At 38.3% G+C, this 20351-nt stretch overlaps 1 protein-coding gene and 1 pseudogene across 1 annotated transcript in view; one reads left to right on the top strand and one right to left on the bottom strand.

Moving 5' to 3' along the window:
• FMR1NB (FMR1 neighbor) overlaps positions 1–20351 on the bottom strand; it is a 45329-nt gene that overhangs the window by 788 nt on the left and 24190 nt on the right. The window contains exons 3-5 of the mRNA NM_152578.3: positions 19036–19176; positions 17167–17260; positions 865–1013 (exon numbers count right to left, since the gene is read on the bottom strand). Coding sequence (NP_689791.1) covers positions 878–1013; positions 17167–17260; positions 19036–19176 — 371 coding nt within the window. The 3' untranslated portion in view covers positions 865–877. The remainder of the gene's footprint in view (positions 1–864; positions 1014–17166; positions 17261–19035; positions 19177–20351) is intronic.
• RNA5SP524 (RNA, 5S ribosomal pseudogene 524) lies at positions 17663–17778 on the top strand (annotated as a pseudogene).

The raw sequence follows: 20351 nt of genomic DNA, 5'->3' as shown, positions 1-20351 counted from the left end.
GAGTCTCCTGACACGGAATTCAATGGCCTGTCATTCCATTCCTTTGCTTCTCTGTAACTTAATACCATAATTTTGGGTACTGCATTGCAATTTTCAAAACATTTTCACATACATTATATTGTTTAAGTTACACAAAAAATCTATGATGGTATCAAGGAACTGAAAGGTTAATTTCACTGCCCATGGAAACACTACTAGTTAATGACCTGGGTCTCCTTACTCCCAGTCCCTGAGATACAGCTTTGTTTCTCACCAACCATTTTATTCTTACTTGTCCCTTCACAGTTATTTTGGGAGGAGGAGACCCAAGTCAAGGCTAGGGATCTATAACCCTGTACAAGTATAACCTGTACAAAGTAGTCCCTAGTGTATGATTCTGGGATCCCTCTCTCAACCTCTTCTAACACTACATCGTGCAGGTTTGAAGAACAGGTAGCTGAGACTAACAGGTAAGATCCAGGATTCAATCTCATCTCTGTCAGACTCCTAAGGCCATTCTCCTTCCCCTGGATATGTGATGTGGTCACATATGAGGACTGTGGCCTTCATTATTTACCAAGGGTGTCTATCAGGGAGCCATAGAGTCAGAGTGGGCAGGATCAACTTCTTTTCTCCCTCTGAAAAGCTGACCTGTGTATACCATATAATGTGGCACTCAAAACAATTTGGCACATTTCTTATCCATTTTCCTACCATCTCAATATCTCTAGTGATAAATATTTGTTCAGAAGCTGGCCCTCCTGTGATCCAAACATTTGTGTGGTTAAAAAAAATGTGTCAGTCAAGCCAAGATGATGGTAGAAATATAAAGCTAACAAGAATCAGAGATTGAGCACTTCAACTTTATATCCTATTGTCAATTACCTTTGGTCTCTTGCTACTCGTCACCATGTTCCTCACGTCCTCTTGCTGCTTTCTGTAACATTTCAGACTTCCTCTTTCGCTTCCTTCTTTGTTTCTTCAAACCCGTTACAACTCTGTTGTCCTGCCTTTGTAAATCATCGGCCGGTTCGCTGTAACATAAAAAGTTCAAGTGAAACCTTATTTCTCATTAGTGATAGAATAACAATGGGAGGGTTATAAGGAAAAAAATATTTGCCCAGATAACTATACTTTCCCACCTGATATTTTTAACTCACCAGATTTAATAAATCCGATAGAAATTATTCCACTTGGCTTGCTCATATTGATCATCATAACCATCATTATTATTCTCTATACAGTCATTTTGATTATGTGACCATCTGTAACAGAAATGCTCTCCCACTTCCCTGTGCTGACATCAATGTTACCCACTCTTTAATGGTAAGTTTAGATATTATCTTGTCTAGGAAGCCAGCTCTTCCACTCCTAGTTTAGAGGGATTCCTTCCTCCTATGAACTTCAAATCTACACAGTAATGGCTCACATTGTATTAGCATTTACAATTTTCAAAGCACCTTCACTTACTCCTGTTGTCATTGGGTATACAATCTCGTACCTCCTTGTATTTGTGTGGACAGTTGGTAAAGGGGCACTTGAGAGGCTACCACATGCCAAGAACTTCACTAAGTGCTTTATATACTTTCTCATTAAATCCTCATAACGACCCTAGAAGGTGGATAGTGTGTTTCCTATTTTGCAAATGATTAATCTGGGGCTTAAAGAGGTAAAATAATTCACCCAAGGTCACAGATAACTAGTAATGGAGATGCTAGAATTTAAACGTAGGTCTGTTTGACTCTAAAGTACAAGCTTTTTCCATTAGACCACTTTGCAGTGTTCGTGAATAATGGCTAGCAGCAGGTATGATAAACTTCCTATGTGCATAATAAGCACTTCACGTGCATGATCTCATTTAATCTTCATTAACGACTTGATGAGGCAGGTACTATTTCTATCATTCCCATTTTTCATATGGGGAAACTGAGGCACCAAGACGGAAAGTAACTTGCCGAGGTCACCAAACTACTCAGTAGTAGAACCAGGATTCAAATCCAGACCTACCTAAATCTAAAGTACAATCTCTCTCCTACTACACTAACCTGTCTCATTCTCTCCTCAAAGCTTGTAAATTCCTTCAGACTGGAACCTTACCTTATCACTTTTTATATCCCACAGAGGAAATGGAAATGTTTGTTGATTTTTATGCTTATAGGGCTTTTACTTTCTAAAGAACTAAACATAAGCCAAAAAAAATAGTAATGTTCATGGCAGAGGTAAAGAGAAAAATCCAAAGACAGAAAAAAAGAAAGATTTGCACACAATATTATGAAGAGGTAATGACAGATAAATAATCCTATCCTCAGCTCAAGCTAGGTAGCATGCAGAAGAAGATACCAGGACCTTGTAAGTGCTACTTAGCTGTACAGAAAAACAAGGTTCTGAGCATGTGGGTCCCAGAGAAAGATAAGTCTGCCTTTGAAATTATGACTTTGAAGATAAATAATACTAACTTTTCTCCCCTAAAACTGTATTACTGGGTTGACACTGAGCTCCACTAGGTAAGACAAATGTGGGGCAAAGAAACAAATTCTTTCCCAATTAATCAAAAAAATGTCTCTGGGCATAAATGAAATGGTGAATGAAGGCAAAAAATATATTTATATGATTTATCTATGGCCTATTTATGTTGCCATGTTGTTACCTACAGTCTAAAAAAAATAATAACTGAAACAACTACACAGTTCTCAGTACCTTGGGGCCAGATGTGCTTGAGAATGCAGATTCTTTTGGATTTAGAAAGGTAATATGACACGATATATTGAATACTACATGACATTCCCATGGGGTCTGGGGTAGCATCTCATAATCAAACACAGTAACATTTCTGCAACAAATATATGAATATTCACTCTAAGAATTAAATAATGACTAGAAGGAATCTCAGTCCAGGTTTGTCGCAAAATGAATACAACAAAATTTTTAGGTTTGCAGAAATTTTTGAATTTCAGGATTTTAGAGAAGAAATTGAGAACTTATGCTTTTTTCTAATGCTGTGACGTCAATATAGCCTACTTTATATAATTAAAATGACTATGTTTTCTTTATCTACAGATTTTCTTTTAAATTTGGTCATGTACATTTCACCTTAATTAACAACAAAAAAGCAACACGGCCTTATTATTTCAAAACTGACCTAGGTTTCAGAGGACTTGGTTTTTGTTCAGCCTCATCACTAACTGGCTATATGACTAACATTTACTACTGAGATCCAAGGTTAGCTATTCTACCTAATAGGCAATGAAAATGCCCAAGGGAGAGAGTAGGAGTGAAATGATTTTTCAGTGTCCTAGAGGTGGTTTTCTTCTTTTCATATAAAGTGTCATATATCATGACCAGCATACGCACACGGAAAAGGTCAATTTCTTGCACACTCATTCACTCACTGATATATTTGCTCATTTATTAAATAAACATTATTCTAAGTACTAGAGACATAAACATGACTAAGATATGGTACCTGTCCTTGAGGAGCTTAAAATTTAGAAGGGAAAGTAGATATACAGACTAACAATATTATGTTGAGATGAGTTCAAGTAGAGGTAATCAGAGGTTGGTAGAAGGCAGACAAGAAGAAGCCTGACCCAATGTGTGCAGGAGGTTTGGAGTAAGCTTCCTAGAAGAGGTGACCTCTAAGATGAGGCCTGCAGCCTGAGTGGAGAGAGCCAGATAAAGAAAAGTGGAGGTGGGGAGATGCATAAGAGCATTTCAGTCAGCAGATACACTTTATGAGACTCAGAGTGACAAGGTGGCATGTTGTTTGTAAACATCTAGTAGAGTGGCATGGCTGGAAATGTTAAGTGAGCTCACTGGAAATTCCTAATGACACAGATCCACACAGTTGTGGGACATTTTTTTTCTTCTAAAAATTCCCAGGAGCCTAGATCTAAGAGCAGAGAAGTGGTATGGATTCAGTTTCCATGAAACAAGGGGACTGGAAACAAGAATGGATTAAAGTACTAGACAATGGGATCCAGGCTGGATAAAAAAAAAAAAAAAGCAGATGATGTTAGGAAGATGGCAGACTGGGAGAAAAGAGAGAGTTAAAGACACTGGAGGCCTCAATGTGTTAAAGAACAGGTTCAGCAAAAATGAAGCGGAGAAAAAGCTGGAGGACAAGGAACCTATGGTGAAAGAGTAAGATTTTGAACTTTAAGATTTCAGAGATTCAGAGGTTCAGTTTTGAGTGAATAACAATGTTCAAGATGTGGGCATGAAACTGGGTGGCCAAGGATGAGTAAAGGGGCAATTCCTCCGGATTGAGTACATCAGGGAACTCTGAGGCTAGGGGCTCAAAGAAACAAAAACATACATCATTGAAGAAATTTGTTGGGTGTTTTGGAACCTCAAGAGTTTAACATAACTGATCAGAAAGAAAGAAATGGCCTGAGGACAGAGCAAGATGGCAGAACAGAATGCTCTAACAATTACCCCCATCCTACCCCGCCATAGGAACACCAAATTTAACAACTATCTACACAGGAAAAAAAAAAAAAAAGCCCCTTCATAAGAACCAAAAATCAGGGGAGCACTCAGAGTACTTGCTTTTAACTTCATACAGCTGAAAGAAGTACTGAAGAGAGTAGGAAAGACAGTCTTGAATTGCCAATGCCGCCTCTCCCCTATCCCCCAGCAGTGGCTGCATGGCACAGAAAGAGAATCTGTGCACTTGGGAGAGAAAGAGTGCAGCAATTGTGAGACATTACATTGAACTCAGAGCTGCCCTGTCAAAGCAGAAAGCAAAACCAGGCTGAACCCAGCTGATGCCCACTCACAGAGGGACTATTTAAACCAGACCTAGCCAGAGAGGAACCACCCATCCCAGTAGTCAGGATTGAATCTGGCAAGCCTTGCCACTGTGGGCCAAAAGTTCACTGGGGCCCTCAATAACCTTGAAAGGCAGTCTAGGCCACAAGGACTGCAATTCTTAGGTTAGTCCTAGTGCTGAACTGGGTTAAGAGTCAGTGGATTTAGGAAGCACACAACCTACTGACACACTAGCCAGGGTGGCTAAGGGAATGTTGGTGCCACCCCTCCCCTAACTCCAGGCTGCAAAACTCATAGCTCCAAAAGAGACTCCTTCCATCTGTTTCAGAAGAGGAGAGGGAAGAGTAAAGCAGACTTTGTCTTACATCTTGGATATCAGCTCAGCCACAGTAGGAAAGGGCACCAGTCAGAGTCAAGAGGTCCCCTTTTCAGGCCCTAGCTCACAGATGACAGTTCTAGATACACCCTGAACCAGGAGACAATCTACTGCCTTAAAGGGAAGGATCCAGTCCTAGCAGGACCTGCTGACTGAAAATCCCTTGGGCCCTGAATAACAAGCAGTGATACCTAGGTTATGCTGTGAGCCTTGGGTGAGACTTTGAGACTTGCTGAATTCAGGTGTGACTCAGCACATCCTCAGCTGTGGTGGCTACAGGGAGAGACTCCTGCTTGAGAAAAGCAGTGGGAAAAGTAAAGGGAATTTTGTCTCGAACCTTAAATACCAGCTTAGTCACAGGGGAGTAGAGCACCAAGTGGGCTTTTAGTGTACCCAATCCCGGGCCTTGGCTGTTGGATGGCATTTCTGGACCTGCCCTGGGCCAGAGGGGAGCCCACTGCCCTGAAGGGTGGTGAGTCCCAGGCCAGGTAACATTCACCACAAGCTGATAGAAGAGCCCTTGGGCTTTAAGAGAACATTGGCAGTACTCCCTGTGGGCCTGCAGTGTTGATTGCCACAAGGTAGGGCTCTTCTGCCTGTAGAAAGGGGAAGAAACAGTGGGAAGAACTGCATCTTGTGGTGAGTGCCAGATCACCTGCAGTACAACAGAACACTGGGTATATTTCTAAGGTTTTGACTCTAGTTCTTGGCTCCTGGAAAGTACCCCTGGACATGCCTGGGGCCTGCAAGAACTCACCACCCTGAAGGGAAGGATACAAGGCTGGCTGGCTTTGCCACCTGCTGTTTGTAGAGTCCCAGTGCCTTGAGCAAACATAAGCAGTGGCCAGGTAGTGATTACAGTGGGCCTTGGACAAGCCCTAGTGCTGTGCTGGCTTAAGGTCTGCCCTAGTGCAGTCCCAGTGGTGGTGGCCTCAGTGGTGTTTGGGTCACCTCACCCCAAAGCTCCAGGCAGCTCAGTCCAGAGAGAGAGACTCCATTTGATTGGGGAAAAGGAAAGGAAGAGAACAAGAGCCTCTGATGGTAATCCAGAGAATTATTCTGGTTTTTTTCCCAAGATCATTAAGGAAGTACCTCTACAAGTCTGCAAGAGTCACAGTGTCACTGGATTTGGTATGCCTCCTAATGTGAATACAGCTTAGATCACAACACTCAAGTCCCTTAGAACACCTGGAAAGCTGTCCGAAGAAAGACAGGTACAAACAAGCCCAGATAGTGAACAGTACAATGAATACCTAACTCTTCAATGCCCAGACACAGACAAATGTTCACAAGCATCAACACCATCCAGGAAAATGTGAAATCACCAAATGAACTAAATAAGGCACCAGAAACTAATCCTGGAGAAACAAAGACATATTATCTTTCAAACAAAGAATTCAAAATAGCTGTTTTGAGGAAACACAAAGAAATTCAATAGAACTCAGACAAGGAATGCATAATTATATCAGACAAACTGAAAAAAGAGGTTGAAATAATTAAAAATAATCAGGCAGAAATTCTGGAGTTAAATATGCAACTGACATACTGAAGAATGCATCAGAGTTTTTTAATAGTAGATTGATCAAGTAGAATAAACAATTAGTGACCTTGAAGATAGGCTATTTTAAAATACATTTAATACCATTTAAAATGGTCAGAGGAGACAAAAGAAAAAAGAAAACAATGAAACATGCCTACAACATCTAGAAAATAGTCTCAAAAGGTGTCTGTTCATGTCCTTCACCCACTTTTTGATGGGGTTGTTTGTTTTTTTCTTGTAAATTTGTTTGAGTTCATTGTAGATTCTGGATATTAGCCCTTTGTCAGACGAGTAGGTTGCGAAAATTTTCTCCCATTTTGTAGGTTGCCTGTTCACACTGATGGTAGTTTCTTTTGCTGTGCAGAAGCTCTTTAGTTTAATTAGATCCCATTTGTCAATTTTGTCTTTTGTTGTCATTGCTTTTGGTGTTTTAGACATGAAGTCCTTGCCCATGCCTATGTCCTGAATGGTAATGCCTAGGTTTTCTTCTAGGGTTTTTATGGTTTTAGGTCTAACGTTTAAGTCTTTAATCCATCTTGAATTAATTTTTGTATAAGGTGTAAGGAAGGGATCCAGTTTCAGCTTTCTACATATGGCTAGCCAGTTTTCCCAGCACCATTTATCAAATAGGGAATGCTTTCCCCATTGCTTGTTTTTCTCAGGTTTGTCAAAGATCAGATAGTTATAGATATGCAGTGTTACTTCTGAGGGCTCTGTTCTGTTCCATTGATCTATGTCTCTGTTTTGATACCAGTACCATGCTGTTTTGGTTACTGTAGCCTTGTAGTATAGTTTGAAGTCAGGTAGTGTGATGCCTCCAGCTTTGTTCTTTTGGCTTAGGATTGACTTGGCATGAACAGACACTTCTCAAAAGAAGACATTTATGCAGCCAAAAAAACACATGAAAAAATGCTCACCATCACTGGCCATCAGAGAAATGCAAATCAAAACCACAATGAGATACCCTCTCACGCCAGTTAGAATGGCAATCATTAAAAAGTCAGGAAACAACAGGTGCTGGAGAGGATGTGGAGAAATAGGAACACTTTCACACTGTTGGTGGGACTGTAAACTAGTTCAACCCTTGTGCAAGTCAGTGTGGCGATTCCTCAGGGATCTAGAACTAGAAATACCATTTGACCCAGCCATCCCATTACTGGGTATATACCCAAAGGACTATAAATCATGCTGCTATAAAGACACATGCACACGTATGTTTATTGCGGCACTATTCACAATAGCAAAGACTTGGAACCAACCCAAATGTCCAACAATGATAGACTGGATTAAGAAAATGTGGCACATGTACACCATGGAATACTATGCAGCCATAAAAAATGATGAGTTCACGTCCTTTGTAGGGACATGGATGAAATTGGAAATCATCATTCTCAGTAAACTATCGCAAGAACAAAAAACCAAACACCGCATATTCTCACTCATAGGTGGGAATTGAACAATGAGATCACATGGACACAGGAAGGGGAATATCACACTCTGGGGACTGTGGTGGGGTCGGGGGAGGGGGGAGGGATAGCATTGGGAGATATACCTAATGTGGGTGCAGCGCACCAGCATGGCACATGTATACATATGTAACTAACCTGCACATTGTGCACATGTACCCTAAAACTTAAAGTATAATAATAATAAAATTTAAAAAATTAAAAAAAAGAAAAAAAAAGAAAATAGTCTCAAAAGGACAAATCTAAGAGTTAGTGGCCTTAAAAAGGAGGTAGAGAAGGTGATGGGGTAAAAGTTTGTTCAAAGCAATAATAACAGAGGATGTCCCAAACCTAGACAAAGATATCAATATACAAGTACAAGAAGGTTATAGAATACCAGGCAGATTTAACCAAAAGAAGATGACCTCAAGGCATTTAATAATCAAACTCCCAAAGGTCAAGGATGAACAACAGATCCTAAAAGCACTAAGAGAAAAGAAACAAATAACATACAATGGAGCCCCAGTAAGTCTGGCAGCAGAGTTACCAGCAGAAACCTTATGGCCAGGAGAGAGTAGCATGATATATATAAGGTGCTGAAGGAAAAATACGACATACTACTCTTTCACCCTAGAGCAGTATGTCCAACGAAAATATCCTTCAGACATGAAGAAAAATAAAGACTTTCCCAGACAAACAAAAGCTGGGGGATTTCATCAATACCAGATCTGTCCTACACAAAATGCTACATTGAATACTTTAATGAGAAAGAAAAGGGTGTTAATGACCAATAATAAATCATCTGAAGGTACAAAACTCACTGGCAATAATAAGTATGCAGAAAACCACAAAATATTATAACAAAGTAACTTTGTTGTATAAACTACTCTTAAGTGGAAAGACTAAAGACGAACCAATCAAAAATATTAACTGCAACAACTCTTCAAAACATCGACTACTATAAGATACAAGCAGAAACAATAAAAAGTTTAAAAATTGGGGGATGAAACTATGAGGTAGAGTTTTTATTAGTTGCCTTTTTGTTGACTGTTTATGCAAACAATGTTATGTTGTTATCAGCTTAAAATAATAGGTTATTAGATAGTATTTGCAAGCCTCATGGTAACCTCTAATCAAAAAACATGCAATGGATTCACAGAAAATAAAAAGCAAGAAACTAAATCATATCACCAGAGAAAGTCACCTTCACTAGAGGAAGACAGGAAGGAAGGAAAGTAGAAGGAGAAGACCACAAGGCCACCAGAAAACAAATAACAAAATGGCAGAAGTAAGTCATTACTTATCAATAATAACACTGAATATAAAAGGACTACACTCTCCAATCAAAAGACACAGAGTGGCTGAATGGATATAAAAATGAGACCCAATCATCAGTTGCCTACAAGAAACACACTTCACCTATAAAGACACATATAGCTTGAAAATAAAGGAATGAAAAAAAGACATTCCATACCAATGGAAACCAAGACAGAGCAGGAGTAGCTATACTTACATCAGAAAAAAATATATTTCAAAACAAAACTATATGAAGAAACACACTTCACCTATAAAGACACATATAGACTGAAAATAAAGGAATGAAAAAAGACATTCCATACCAATGGAAACCAAGAAAGGGAAGGAGTAGCTATACTTACATCAGAAAAAAATCTATTTCAAAACAAAACTATATGAAGAGACAAAGACAGTCACCACATAATGATAGAGGCCAATTCAGCAATGGAATATAGCAATAGTAAATATATGTGCACCCAACACTGGAACACCCAGATACATAAAGCAAATAGTATTAGAGCTAAAGATAGAGATAGACCCCTGTACAATAATAGCTAGTGACTTCAATACCCTACTGTCAGCACTGGACAGATATTCCAGACAGAAAATGAACAAAGTAACATCAGACTTAATCTGCACTGTACACCAAATAGACCTAATAGATATTTAGAGAAAACCCTACAGAATACACTTTCTTTCCCCAGCACATGAATTATCCTCAAGGATAGACTGTGTGTTAGGTCACAAAGCAAGCCCTAAAACATTGAAAAAAATTAAAACGATAACAAGCATCTTCTCTCACCAAAATGGAATAAAACTAGAAATCAATAACAAAAGGAAATTTGGAAACTATACAAACACATGGAAATTAAACAATATGTTCCTGAATAGCCAATGAATCAATGAAGAGATTAAGAAGGAAATTAAAACCCTTCTTGAAACAACTGATAATGGAAACATGATATACCAAAACCTGGGATACAACATAAGCAGTACTCAGAGGGAAGATTATAGCTGTAAGTACCTATATCAAAAAGAGGAAAAACTTCACATAAACAGCCTAATGATACATCTTAAATAACCAGAAAAGCAAAATCAAACCAAACCCACAATTAGGGAATAAAAATAATAAAGATGAGAGCAGAAATAAATAAATTTGAAATGAAGAAAACAATACAGAAGATTAATGAAACAAAAAGTTGTTTTTTTAAGAAAGATAAATAAAATTCACAAACCTTTAGCCAGACTAAGCAAACAAGAGAGAATACCCAAATAAGTAAAATCAGAGATGAAAAAGAAGACATTATAACTGATACCATAGAAATTCAAAGGTTCAATAGTGGCTACTCTGAGCAACTATATGCCAATAAATTGTAAAATCTAGAAGAAATGGAAAAATGTCTAGACACATACAACCTAACTAAATTGAACCAGGAAGAAATCCAAAACCCGAATAGACCAATAACAAGTAACGAGAGCAAGGCTATAATAAAACTCTCCCAGGAAAAGAAAAGCCCAGGACCCACGGGCTGGGCATGTTGGCTTCTGTCTGTAATCCCAGCACTTCAGGAGGCCAAGGCAGGTGGATTCCTTGAGCTCAGGAGTTTGAGACCAGCCTGGGCAACATGGTGAAGCTCTGTTTCTACCAAATATACAAAAATTAGTTGGGTGTGGTGGCACACGCCTGTGGTCCTGGGTACTCGGGAGGCTGAGGTGGGAGGATTGCCGGAGCCCGGGAAGTCGAGGCTGCAGTAAGCCGTGATTGTGCCACTGCACTCCAACCTGGGTGACAGAGCGAGAACTTGTCTTAAAAAAAAAAATTCCCAAGTTTACTTCCGTAGAAGCCATCTACATGCTAACTTTTTATCTGTACCTCTTTTACGGACAATGATTTTCTACTTTGGATACTTGTATATGTCCCTTATTACACAGACTATGTGTGTTCCTTGAGAGCACAGAGCATAATCTGATTTGCTTCTTTGTCCTTCACAGCACCTAACACAAGGCCTGGAACACAGATATTCTTGAAAGCATTAGAAGTTCTTGAATGATATAATGAAATGAAATAGAGATATTTCAGGAAGATGAGTCTGGCAAGACATTGCAGGATGGATTAGAGGGAGAGTAGATTAGGAGTCCAGGTATATGTCCAAACTGGTTTGGCAGGTATCCTTAATTCCTCTTTACCTAAGGCCAATGCTATACATTCCTATTTAAGTACCAGGAAACCTCTCTGGAACCCACCTCCTAGCCATCCTCCAAGCCCCACTTGCGGCCCCATCTCAGATGGTGTCTCTCCTATAAGAATCTCTTGGATTAGATATATCATTATGACCTCTCAGCTCTGAAACCTGCCTTCGCTCTTTAGATGCTACCCTTAGTTCCCTTTTGCTCCTCTCCTGAAGCCACTTGCCTAGAATGGGAAAAGGCACTCAAGGCTGGTACTAAATTACAATAAAATGGGAGAAGGGGCAAATTCCAGACTCATTCCAAAGAAGAACAAAACAAAACAGAACACAATGACAAGGAGAGTAAGTGAAAAGATTATATATTGAGGATAAATGAGAAGAAATAGTCACCAAAGACTCTAAGGTTCTAGCCTGGGAAACTAAAGAAATCACTGACAGGAATGGAGAAGGGTCAAGGGGAGATAATTTAGGAGAAAAAGAAAATGAGTTCACTTTTTCACATATTGCATTTGAGGTGCTGATAAAACATCTAATTCACGAGAGTGACTGGAAATATGGAACAGGTAGAGGTGAAGATTTTAGGATTTGGAATTAAGAGTAATTTACCCAGAGACTCTTGGAATACTATGGTCAGAAAATACCATAGAAATTATCTAACTCAAGTCTCTACTATAATTTTGTTAGGAAATCAATACTCAAAGAATTTAAACACATCCATGAAACGTGGTGAAAGCAGAATGAGAACGCAGATCTTTTAGAATGTTCTTCCTACTATATATTTCTAACATTTTCTGATAAATGGGAGTAAGGCTTTGGGAAACAACCACATTTGGGTGAACAAAGAAAAGCAGACTGAGATGGATCAAAATTGTAAGAGGAACAATGAAATCCAAGGGGGGAAAATTTCAAGAAGGGAGCAGTCAACAGTGTACTCTGTGACAAAAAGATCAAATTAAATGGGAATTGAGAAAAGGACACTTCATTTTGCAATGAAGTTATTAGTTACTTGGCAACAGAATGTTCTTTTTAATAGTACCTACTATGCCAGAGTTCTCTAAAATGCTGTCCTTGGAGTCCTTGCAATGAGAACACCTCAGACATATGATCCGCATAATGAGGTTCTCTTATTATTTCAGTAATTAAATTACCATGAACAGCGTCCAAGAAGTACCAGCTTTATACGAATTTCAAACCTATAGTGACTCATGCTAGAACAGAGTTCCAGTTTGCTCACATTCTCATCTGACATATTTTATCAAAGTTCTTACAGCCTAGTCATACTTTTCAAAATTTATAGATTTTATTTCCTTCCTCTGAATCCAGATGTATATAATCCTAGGAACTTCAAACTTTCCAGTAGTTCGCTAATTACTGCATAAAGCTTTTCAAAATAACATTACTAATTATATTGTACAGTATAATGAGATATGCAAACATGGGAAATTGAAAATGTAAATGTCTATTTTTTAAATTCAAAGGGTGATGATTTTTAGGCAGTTTTTGACACATTTATTCCCAGTTCTTTACCTCCCATTGTAAGAAAATAAGTGGCACTAAGACTAGCGGCATAATGAAAACCAGATTATAATACAGGGAATCATGCAGCAGGATTGGTCTAAATGTAGAAATTTTCAGTAACAGCCATCTGGCAAGTAGCAACATTGAAAGTGTATGGGGGATGTGCTTTTTACATCATCTGTGTATCAGATGATCTACAATCTTCAAAAAAAAATAGACATTTTATTAGTTGAAAGAAAACACAGTTTTGTCATTTTCAGACTGAGTTCTGAATTTTGTCTTAATTCAAAGTTACAAATTCAATCTGATAGGAAGAAAAAGAACATGAAAATGCACTTCATCTGAATTTAACAGGCATGGTATTATGTTTAAATTTTCCACCTTACCAAAGCTACAGACACACTCAAGTATCATATCACTATATAATCCACAGATGTTTAAATGGCATATACACACAGATTTAAACTTTATCTAAAAACAGATAAAGATTAGAAACTGAATTAGAAACTGCACTTGAGACTACTGTCGCTGGCTACAGTAATAGCTGTTAATAAGAACAATTCAGCCACCTCCCTTTTTCTCTTCCCCTTAGAATTCCTCTCCCCTGCTTCCTTTTGTCGCTATCCACTTGATCTTTTCCTTCCTTCTCCTCTAAGCAAAGGCTTAAGCCTACTAGTGACACTTATACCTAATGAAGCTTCTGATCCCTATTGAGGATAAAAATAGATCTTACATAACCTTAAGGACACAATAAATTTCAAAAACACATCTTATATGTTAGTTTAATATGGCTATTAGTGAATTCTTAGAAAGTTTTTCACTAATGCTCTCTGCTTCCTTTTGTATGTGCAACCAGTTCAAACCGGCTTGAGTCCTCTGTGTACCAGGTTCATATCACACTAGAACTCAAGTCAAGTAGAAGTAAACTAGAGATTCAGTTATAGATTTTTTCAGTGGCAAAATTAAGCTGTATCTGCTAGGAAATGAAATAAATTAAGGTGTCTATAGTGAGAAGACCACCATCTGAATGTAATTAATTCTGTGAAAAGGACCCCTCTCTATCTACTCCAAATCTGTCCCCCTTCAAAATCGACCTGAAACGGCACCTCTACCATGAAGCCTGACGTGCCCTCTCCTACTTAACCTGATCTCCACTGCTTCAAAACTTTTGTAAGTTATTGCTACCATCCATTTTAGTCCTTAATTATTTTCGTCTTATATTGTAATTTAAATGTGTCATACTTGGGATTTGTTTTAAGGTGGATTTAAGCTCCTTAAAAGTAGGGCCTATATCTTAAAAATTTCTGTATCCTCCGTTATACCCGGCACAGGCAAACATTCAATGAATATGGTCAATAGTGGAAAAAATGACTTAGGCGCCAAAAACTGAAGTACATATGGCTCTGGTGCATAATTACCCTTTTCACCTACACTGCTTTTAGTTCTCCCACCAACTCAAATTGCTTCACATTTTTTTTTTGTTTTTGTTTTTGTTTTTTTTGAGATGGAGTCTCACTCTGTCGCCCAGGCTAGAGTGCAGTGACGCGATCTCGGCTCACTGTAACTGCCGCCTCCCGGGTTCAAGCGATTCTCCTGCCTCAGCCTCCTGAGTAGCTGGGATTACAGGCGCATGTCACCATGCCCGGCTAATTTTTGTATTGTTAGTAGAGACAGGGTTTCACCATGTTGTTCAGGCTGGTCTCGAACTCCTGACCTCGTGATCTGCCCGCCTTGGCCTCCCAAAGTGCTTCTCATTTTTTAAGCTCTCCAACTCTTGTCAGTTGCTGGCTCCTTAGGTGATCCTTAAAAAAGGCACTGTCCAAATTGCAGAGGTTGGGGAATACCAAAACATTGTTTGTTTTGGCTTGCAACCGAAGGCCAAGAGGAGAGCTATGACAGCTCTTTCTTAAAGGAATTCTCAGTTATTTAATGTTTAAGACAGGATTTAGCAGGAGGAGGAGCTTAAGGGTATCTTCCAATGATGAAAGAGCAAAAAAAGGTCTTCCAAAAGAGGCCCAAATCACATTACTGCAGATAGTCATAATAGCTTTTGGTACCTCTGATTTGGACAAACAATTGTGTTTGGCTTCTTTCTTTTCCTTTTTAAGCCACCACATATTGATTTTACTGCTGTGTCTATTTCTCTTTTATGGGTTATTTATTTTACCTACCCTAATATTTTATCTATCTCTTTATTCTTTGAAATGGAGAACAGAAAGTGAGTTAAGGAAATCGTTCTAAGGAGATATCTTGCCCTGCAAAAGCTGACTATGGCCTGCACTTGGCTCCTTGTTTGATATCAGGGATGGGATTTCCCCGTTCTTACACAATTATTCTCCTTGCCTCTAAAATCAGCCTACCACAATAGGCTGAAAGTGCCCATCCACTCTCAATCATTGTTCCTGGAAATTCAGCTAAGCAGCAAGATGAATCTGCTACCTGCTCCAAGGGTCATGATAGTCAGCTCAAGATGACCGAAGGAGCATACTGCTCTTGCACAAAATAGTAAAATAAATAAATAAAACATAGTAAACCAAAATGTATAGTATCCAATATATACACTTATTCACATTGTTTCTCAAGCAGTCTGTACTATGTAGAAAGAAGGAAATATATTAGGATCAGAGAACAATCCTTTGGATTTCATTTTAGAGAAAAAAAAATCCAGGGGACCTGAACACCCCCATAAAATTCCTTTGCAGAGGTATAACACAGGGACCATAATGAAGTTATCATACCAAACTTATAATCCTAGAAACTCTCTAAATTTCATGGTATATTCCTAGCCACCAATTTCTAGCAAATGTTACTTTATTGTTATTCATGGTTTATTTTTTTAATACAAAATCAACCTTTGAAGAGAAGAAGGAAGGGCCAAAAATTCCACTCCTACTGCCAATCACTTCGATGATCTTCATCCAAAGTAAGGCAGTGTATATAGTCTAACTCTTCTTGCGAAATCTAAACCATATTCTGGTAACTCAACTACTACTTCCACATTAACTTCAATAAAAACATAAAACATGCTTAACCTTCAACAGGCACCTTGTCTTTATCAGAGAATTTAAGGAGGTACTTATTCTCAGGGTAGTGACAATGCTGACCTTGCACGCGCACAAACCTGAGAGTGAGTGCTTCCCTTAACTTTGTGCTCTAAGTGCTTCACTCACCTCACTCTAGTCCTGACTGTGCTCTGTACCTCTATACCCACTCTGTCCCCATAGGTGGGGAGCTATAAAAAAAAAAAAAAAGCTTGGAAGCATCATGCTAGTAGTCCATTGGCATTTTGTATAAGATGCTAAGAAGAAATTTGTTTTCCAATTGGCTTGAAGACAGATCAAGGCTTTATGACCCAATAGTAGATGATCATTAAAGACCAATGGCAGATGACTCAATGGAAACTAACACTTCCAGGAACTGTTCTGATTTGCAGTTAATAGCCACCCCCACTGCACACACACCAAGCTTGCTAATTTATTTTTCCTTCTAATTGTGGGTTTGTTTCATAAGGGAATGTACAGATACTATGCAAGAAGAAAATCTATGGAAAAATAAAATAACACGCATTTTATTTTATTTTTGAGACGTATTTTCACTCTTGTTGCTGAGACTGGAGTGCAGTGGTGGGATCTTGGCTCACTGCAACCTCTGCCTCCCAGGTTCAAGCAATTCTCTTGCCTAAGCCTCCCAAGTAGCTGGGATTACAGGCGTGCACCACCATGCCCGGCTAATTTTGTATTTTTTTTTAATAGAAACGGGGTTTCGCCATGTTGGTCAGACTGGTCTCGAACTCCTGACCTCAAGTGATCCACCCGCCTCGGCCTCCCAAAGTGCTGGGATTACAGGCGTGAGCCACCGTGCCTGGCCGATAACATGCATTTTAAAAACATATTATGGCAACTCTAGTTTTAGGTCTTTCCCAAGCTACCATATTTTCAACATAAAGAACCCAAACATAATCCCTGTATTTCTGAAGTGTATTAATAAATATGTCTATACACAAATACTCATGTATACTTAGCAACGAGCAAATAAAAGTTTATGTTCACCTACCTCCTCCAGAAAAGAGAGCGGCAATAAATGGGCAGACATACCAGGATAAGGCTGATCGCACCAAGCCCAAACATTTGCATCATCTGTTTAGGCACTGTTGGTTTAATTATATCCTGTTACTTTCATGACTTAAGCAAGAGAAGTAAATCCAAGTTCTTTCATAAAGTCTTTATAAAGAAACTATCAGTTAATAAAGTGAAATGAGGAGGTATTCTTATGTGACAGGTAAATATCCTTGCTACTTTATAAGGAACAGGAGTTCATGAAATGTTCTTGAAATACAACTGAAGGCTACACTTTCAATATGTACCCCTTAATGAAGCCTTAACAAAATGATCCTATTTTTTGTACCATCATTGATTACTATGATGCATACGATATTTCTTCCTCTGGCCCTAAATTGGCTTTTTCTCTTGGCCATATGTTGTATATCCTAGAGCACTTGGGGAGCACATTAATCTATGAACCGTTAACTTGGTAAATAAATAGCTTCTTAATCTATGGTCACACCATCCTGAATGTGCCCCATCTCATCTGATCTTGTGAGCTAAGCAAGGTCTAGCCTGGTTAGTGCTTGGATGGGAGACTGGGAATAACCAGATGCTGCAGGTTTACTTCCAAATTACAAAATATTAAATTAAACAAGGAATCAAGAATGTGCAGGTGAAATAAGCATATTTTAGTCTTATATTCATCGGAAAATGCATTCTAATGTGATTGGGGAATTGTAAGTCACAGTTAAATTTTTTCCTCTGCAAGAACCAAATGTTGCTTCATACATAATATAAAGACCAAACTGATAAATGAATTACAAATAACATGTGACAGTGTTAAAATTGTAATATTATATTCACGATCAGGTTTTAGTTTCCAGTATTAATACTACATATTCAACAAAAAGCCGTAAATTGAATAGGGACTATATTAACTTAAGATATTATTTTGCATGCATCCTTTTTGTAGTATTAGTGTTTCATCATATCAAATCCATGCATCATGAGAGCAACTGGAAATACATCCCCAATATCCAAATGAAGGTAGCAAAAACAGATGGTGTAGTTCTCAAAACTTTGTAAAGAAAAAAATATTCAGAAGAACCTAATTCAAAAACTATAGAACAAGACTCGGTGTGGTGGCTCACACCTATAAATTCCAGCACTTTGGGAGGCCGAGGCAGAAGAACTGCTGGAACCCAAGAGTTGGAGACCAGCCTGGGAAGCCTAGGGAGACCTTGTCTCTACAAAAAAACTAAAAATTAGTCGGGCTTGCTGGTGCACGTCTGTAGTCCCAACTACTCAGGAAGCTGAGGCGGGTGGATCACTTGAGCCCCGGATGTCGAGGCTGCAGTCAGCTGTGATCACGTCACCACTGTACTCCAGCCTGGGTAACAGAGTGAGATGCTATCTCAAAAAATACCCAATAAAGAAAAACTAATAAGCAGACCTTAACAAGAAACATTCAAGTCTACTGTTACATACTGAGATGAAGACAAGACAAATGGGAAGAATTCTACCTAGGAGGAAAAGCTGGGCAAAGAGAAGTAAGCTAAGGCATGCCCAACCGGTATCTTCTCTCAGCCATTGAGGGTTCCATAGAGCCTGGAAACTTTTGGACAAAACACAGAGAGTGACTAAAGCAAAAGAAAATGTGAGACTAATTTTTGTATTACCAAAGTCACCATCCAAAGGCTAAGCAAAAACTGCTCCTGACCAGAGTCATGACCACCTCAGGACCTTCTAAGGAGCACCGCTCTAGGACTGGGAGTCCCATTTAAGTATTAAGCTAGGAAATCCAAATATGAACTTATGCCACTGCGATCTGTTTATTTAATATTAAAAAATAGAAATAAATGAAAGAGGAATAACTTACCATCTCTAAATGGAGCAAAACATTTGAAGCTCGTGGTCCCCGATGATGAAAAACAGCATTTGTGTCTCAAACATTCACTCTCACTAAGATCTTGCAGCTCATTACAAGGCTTTGCCACCTGATTTTCCCTCAGATTGCAAGCTTTTAAAAACAGAAATTTAAGAAAGAGAATTCAGCATGGTTAGTTACCACTTTCCCTAATTAAATAATTACTGGAAGACAAAGAAGAAAAGCAAACATTTAATGGCATATACAGCTAATGATGGGTGCTAAAAGAAAATAAGACTTAAGCTAAAAGTTACCACTAAGTTATTTAATATCACATTTTCAAATCTAGGTGAATTGCAGAAAATTACAAGTTGTTAAAAAATCTTTGGTAAGATAGTTTAAAAGGACAATAAATCATGTGCTGAGTGGTGATGATGCAAATATAACACAGAAGGAACTAAATAACAACAAGTCAAATGCTTTTAAAACTAATCCCTTGTTAAAATGATCCCACATATATCCTCCGGCTTAACGTTACTAAGCCACAGAACTAAGTAAAAATTACATAGTTTGCTGCTAGTGACTAAAGTAAGTGATACACTGGCATTGACCTACTTTTTGTGAACACTTATCATATTGGCACTATAATATATTTTAAGATTCTTCGTTTCACCCTTAAATTATGACTCTATAATTTTAAACAGGCAATGATTTATGGCATTAACACCAAGATTATGCAACTGCAATAAATTCGTACATACCTGAATCTAAAAGACCTGCAAGCTCAAATAGCTTATTTTCTATAATATCCTGCTTTATAAGAGAAACAAATACAAACTAAAAAGCACAATATTAGATTTTCATTCAAAAAGAAAAACCTCCACAGTATGTCTATGTGTTAAGGCCAGAATAGATTCGGTTCAATCTCTTATACTATCAACAATTACAAACTTAAAAGTAGTAACTGATATTTTATAATCACTAAAGCACTTCAACATCAGCAAAGAACAACGTAATTGTTTTATGCAAATTTTAACCTCAGTATATTTTACTACATTCCTCTTTTTTAAAGATTGGCAATTGCTGAAGCCAAGGTAAAAATAATAATATCTACCATTATTTAGGCACCTGTTTGGGCCAGGAACCTTGCTTTACACACTTTATTACTAATCTTTGCAACAAACTCCCAAATTGAGTTTTACAATCTCTGTTTTAAAAATAATAAAGGATCAAAGTAACTTATGCAAGATCAAAAATTTAATGCACTACCAACTGGCCTAGACACTCATTTTCCAAACATTTTAGACATGAGAGTTTATCCTACTTGT

The sequence above is a fragment of the Homo sapiens genome, chromosome X (assembly GCF_000001405.40).
Source record: "Homo sapiens chromosome X, GRCh38.p14 Primary Assembly".
Taxonomy (NCBI): domain Eukaryota; kingdom Metazoa; phylum Chordata; class Mammalia; order Primates; family Hominidae; genus Homo; species Homo sapiens.
The sequence above is the reverse complement of the archived record's forward strand: the minus strand, read 5'-3'. Positions and strand labels throughout refer to the sequence as shown.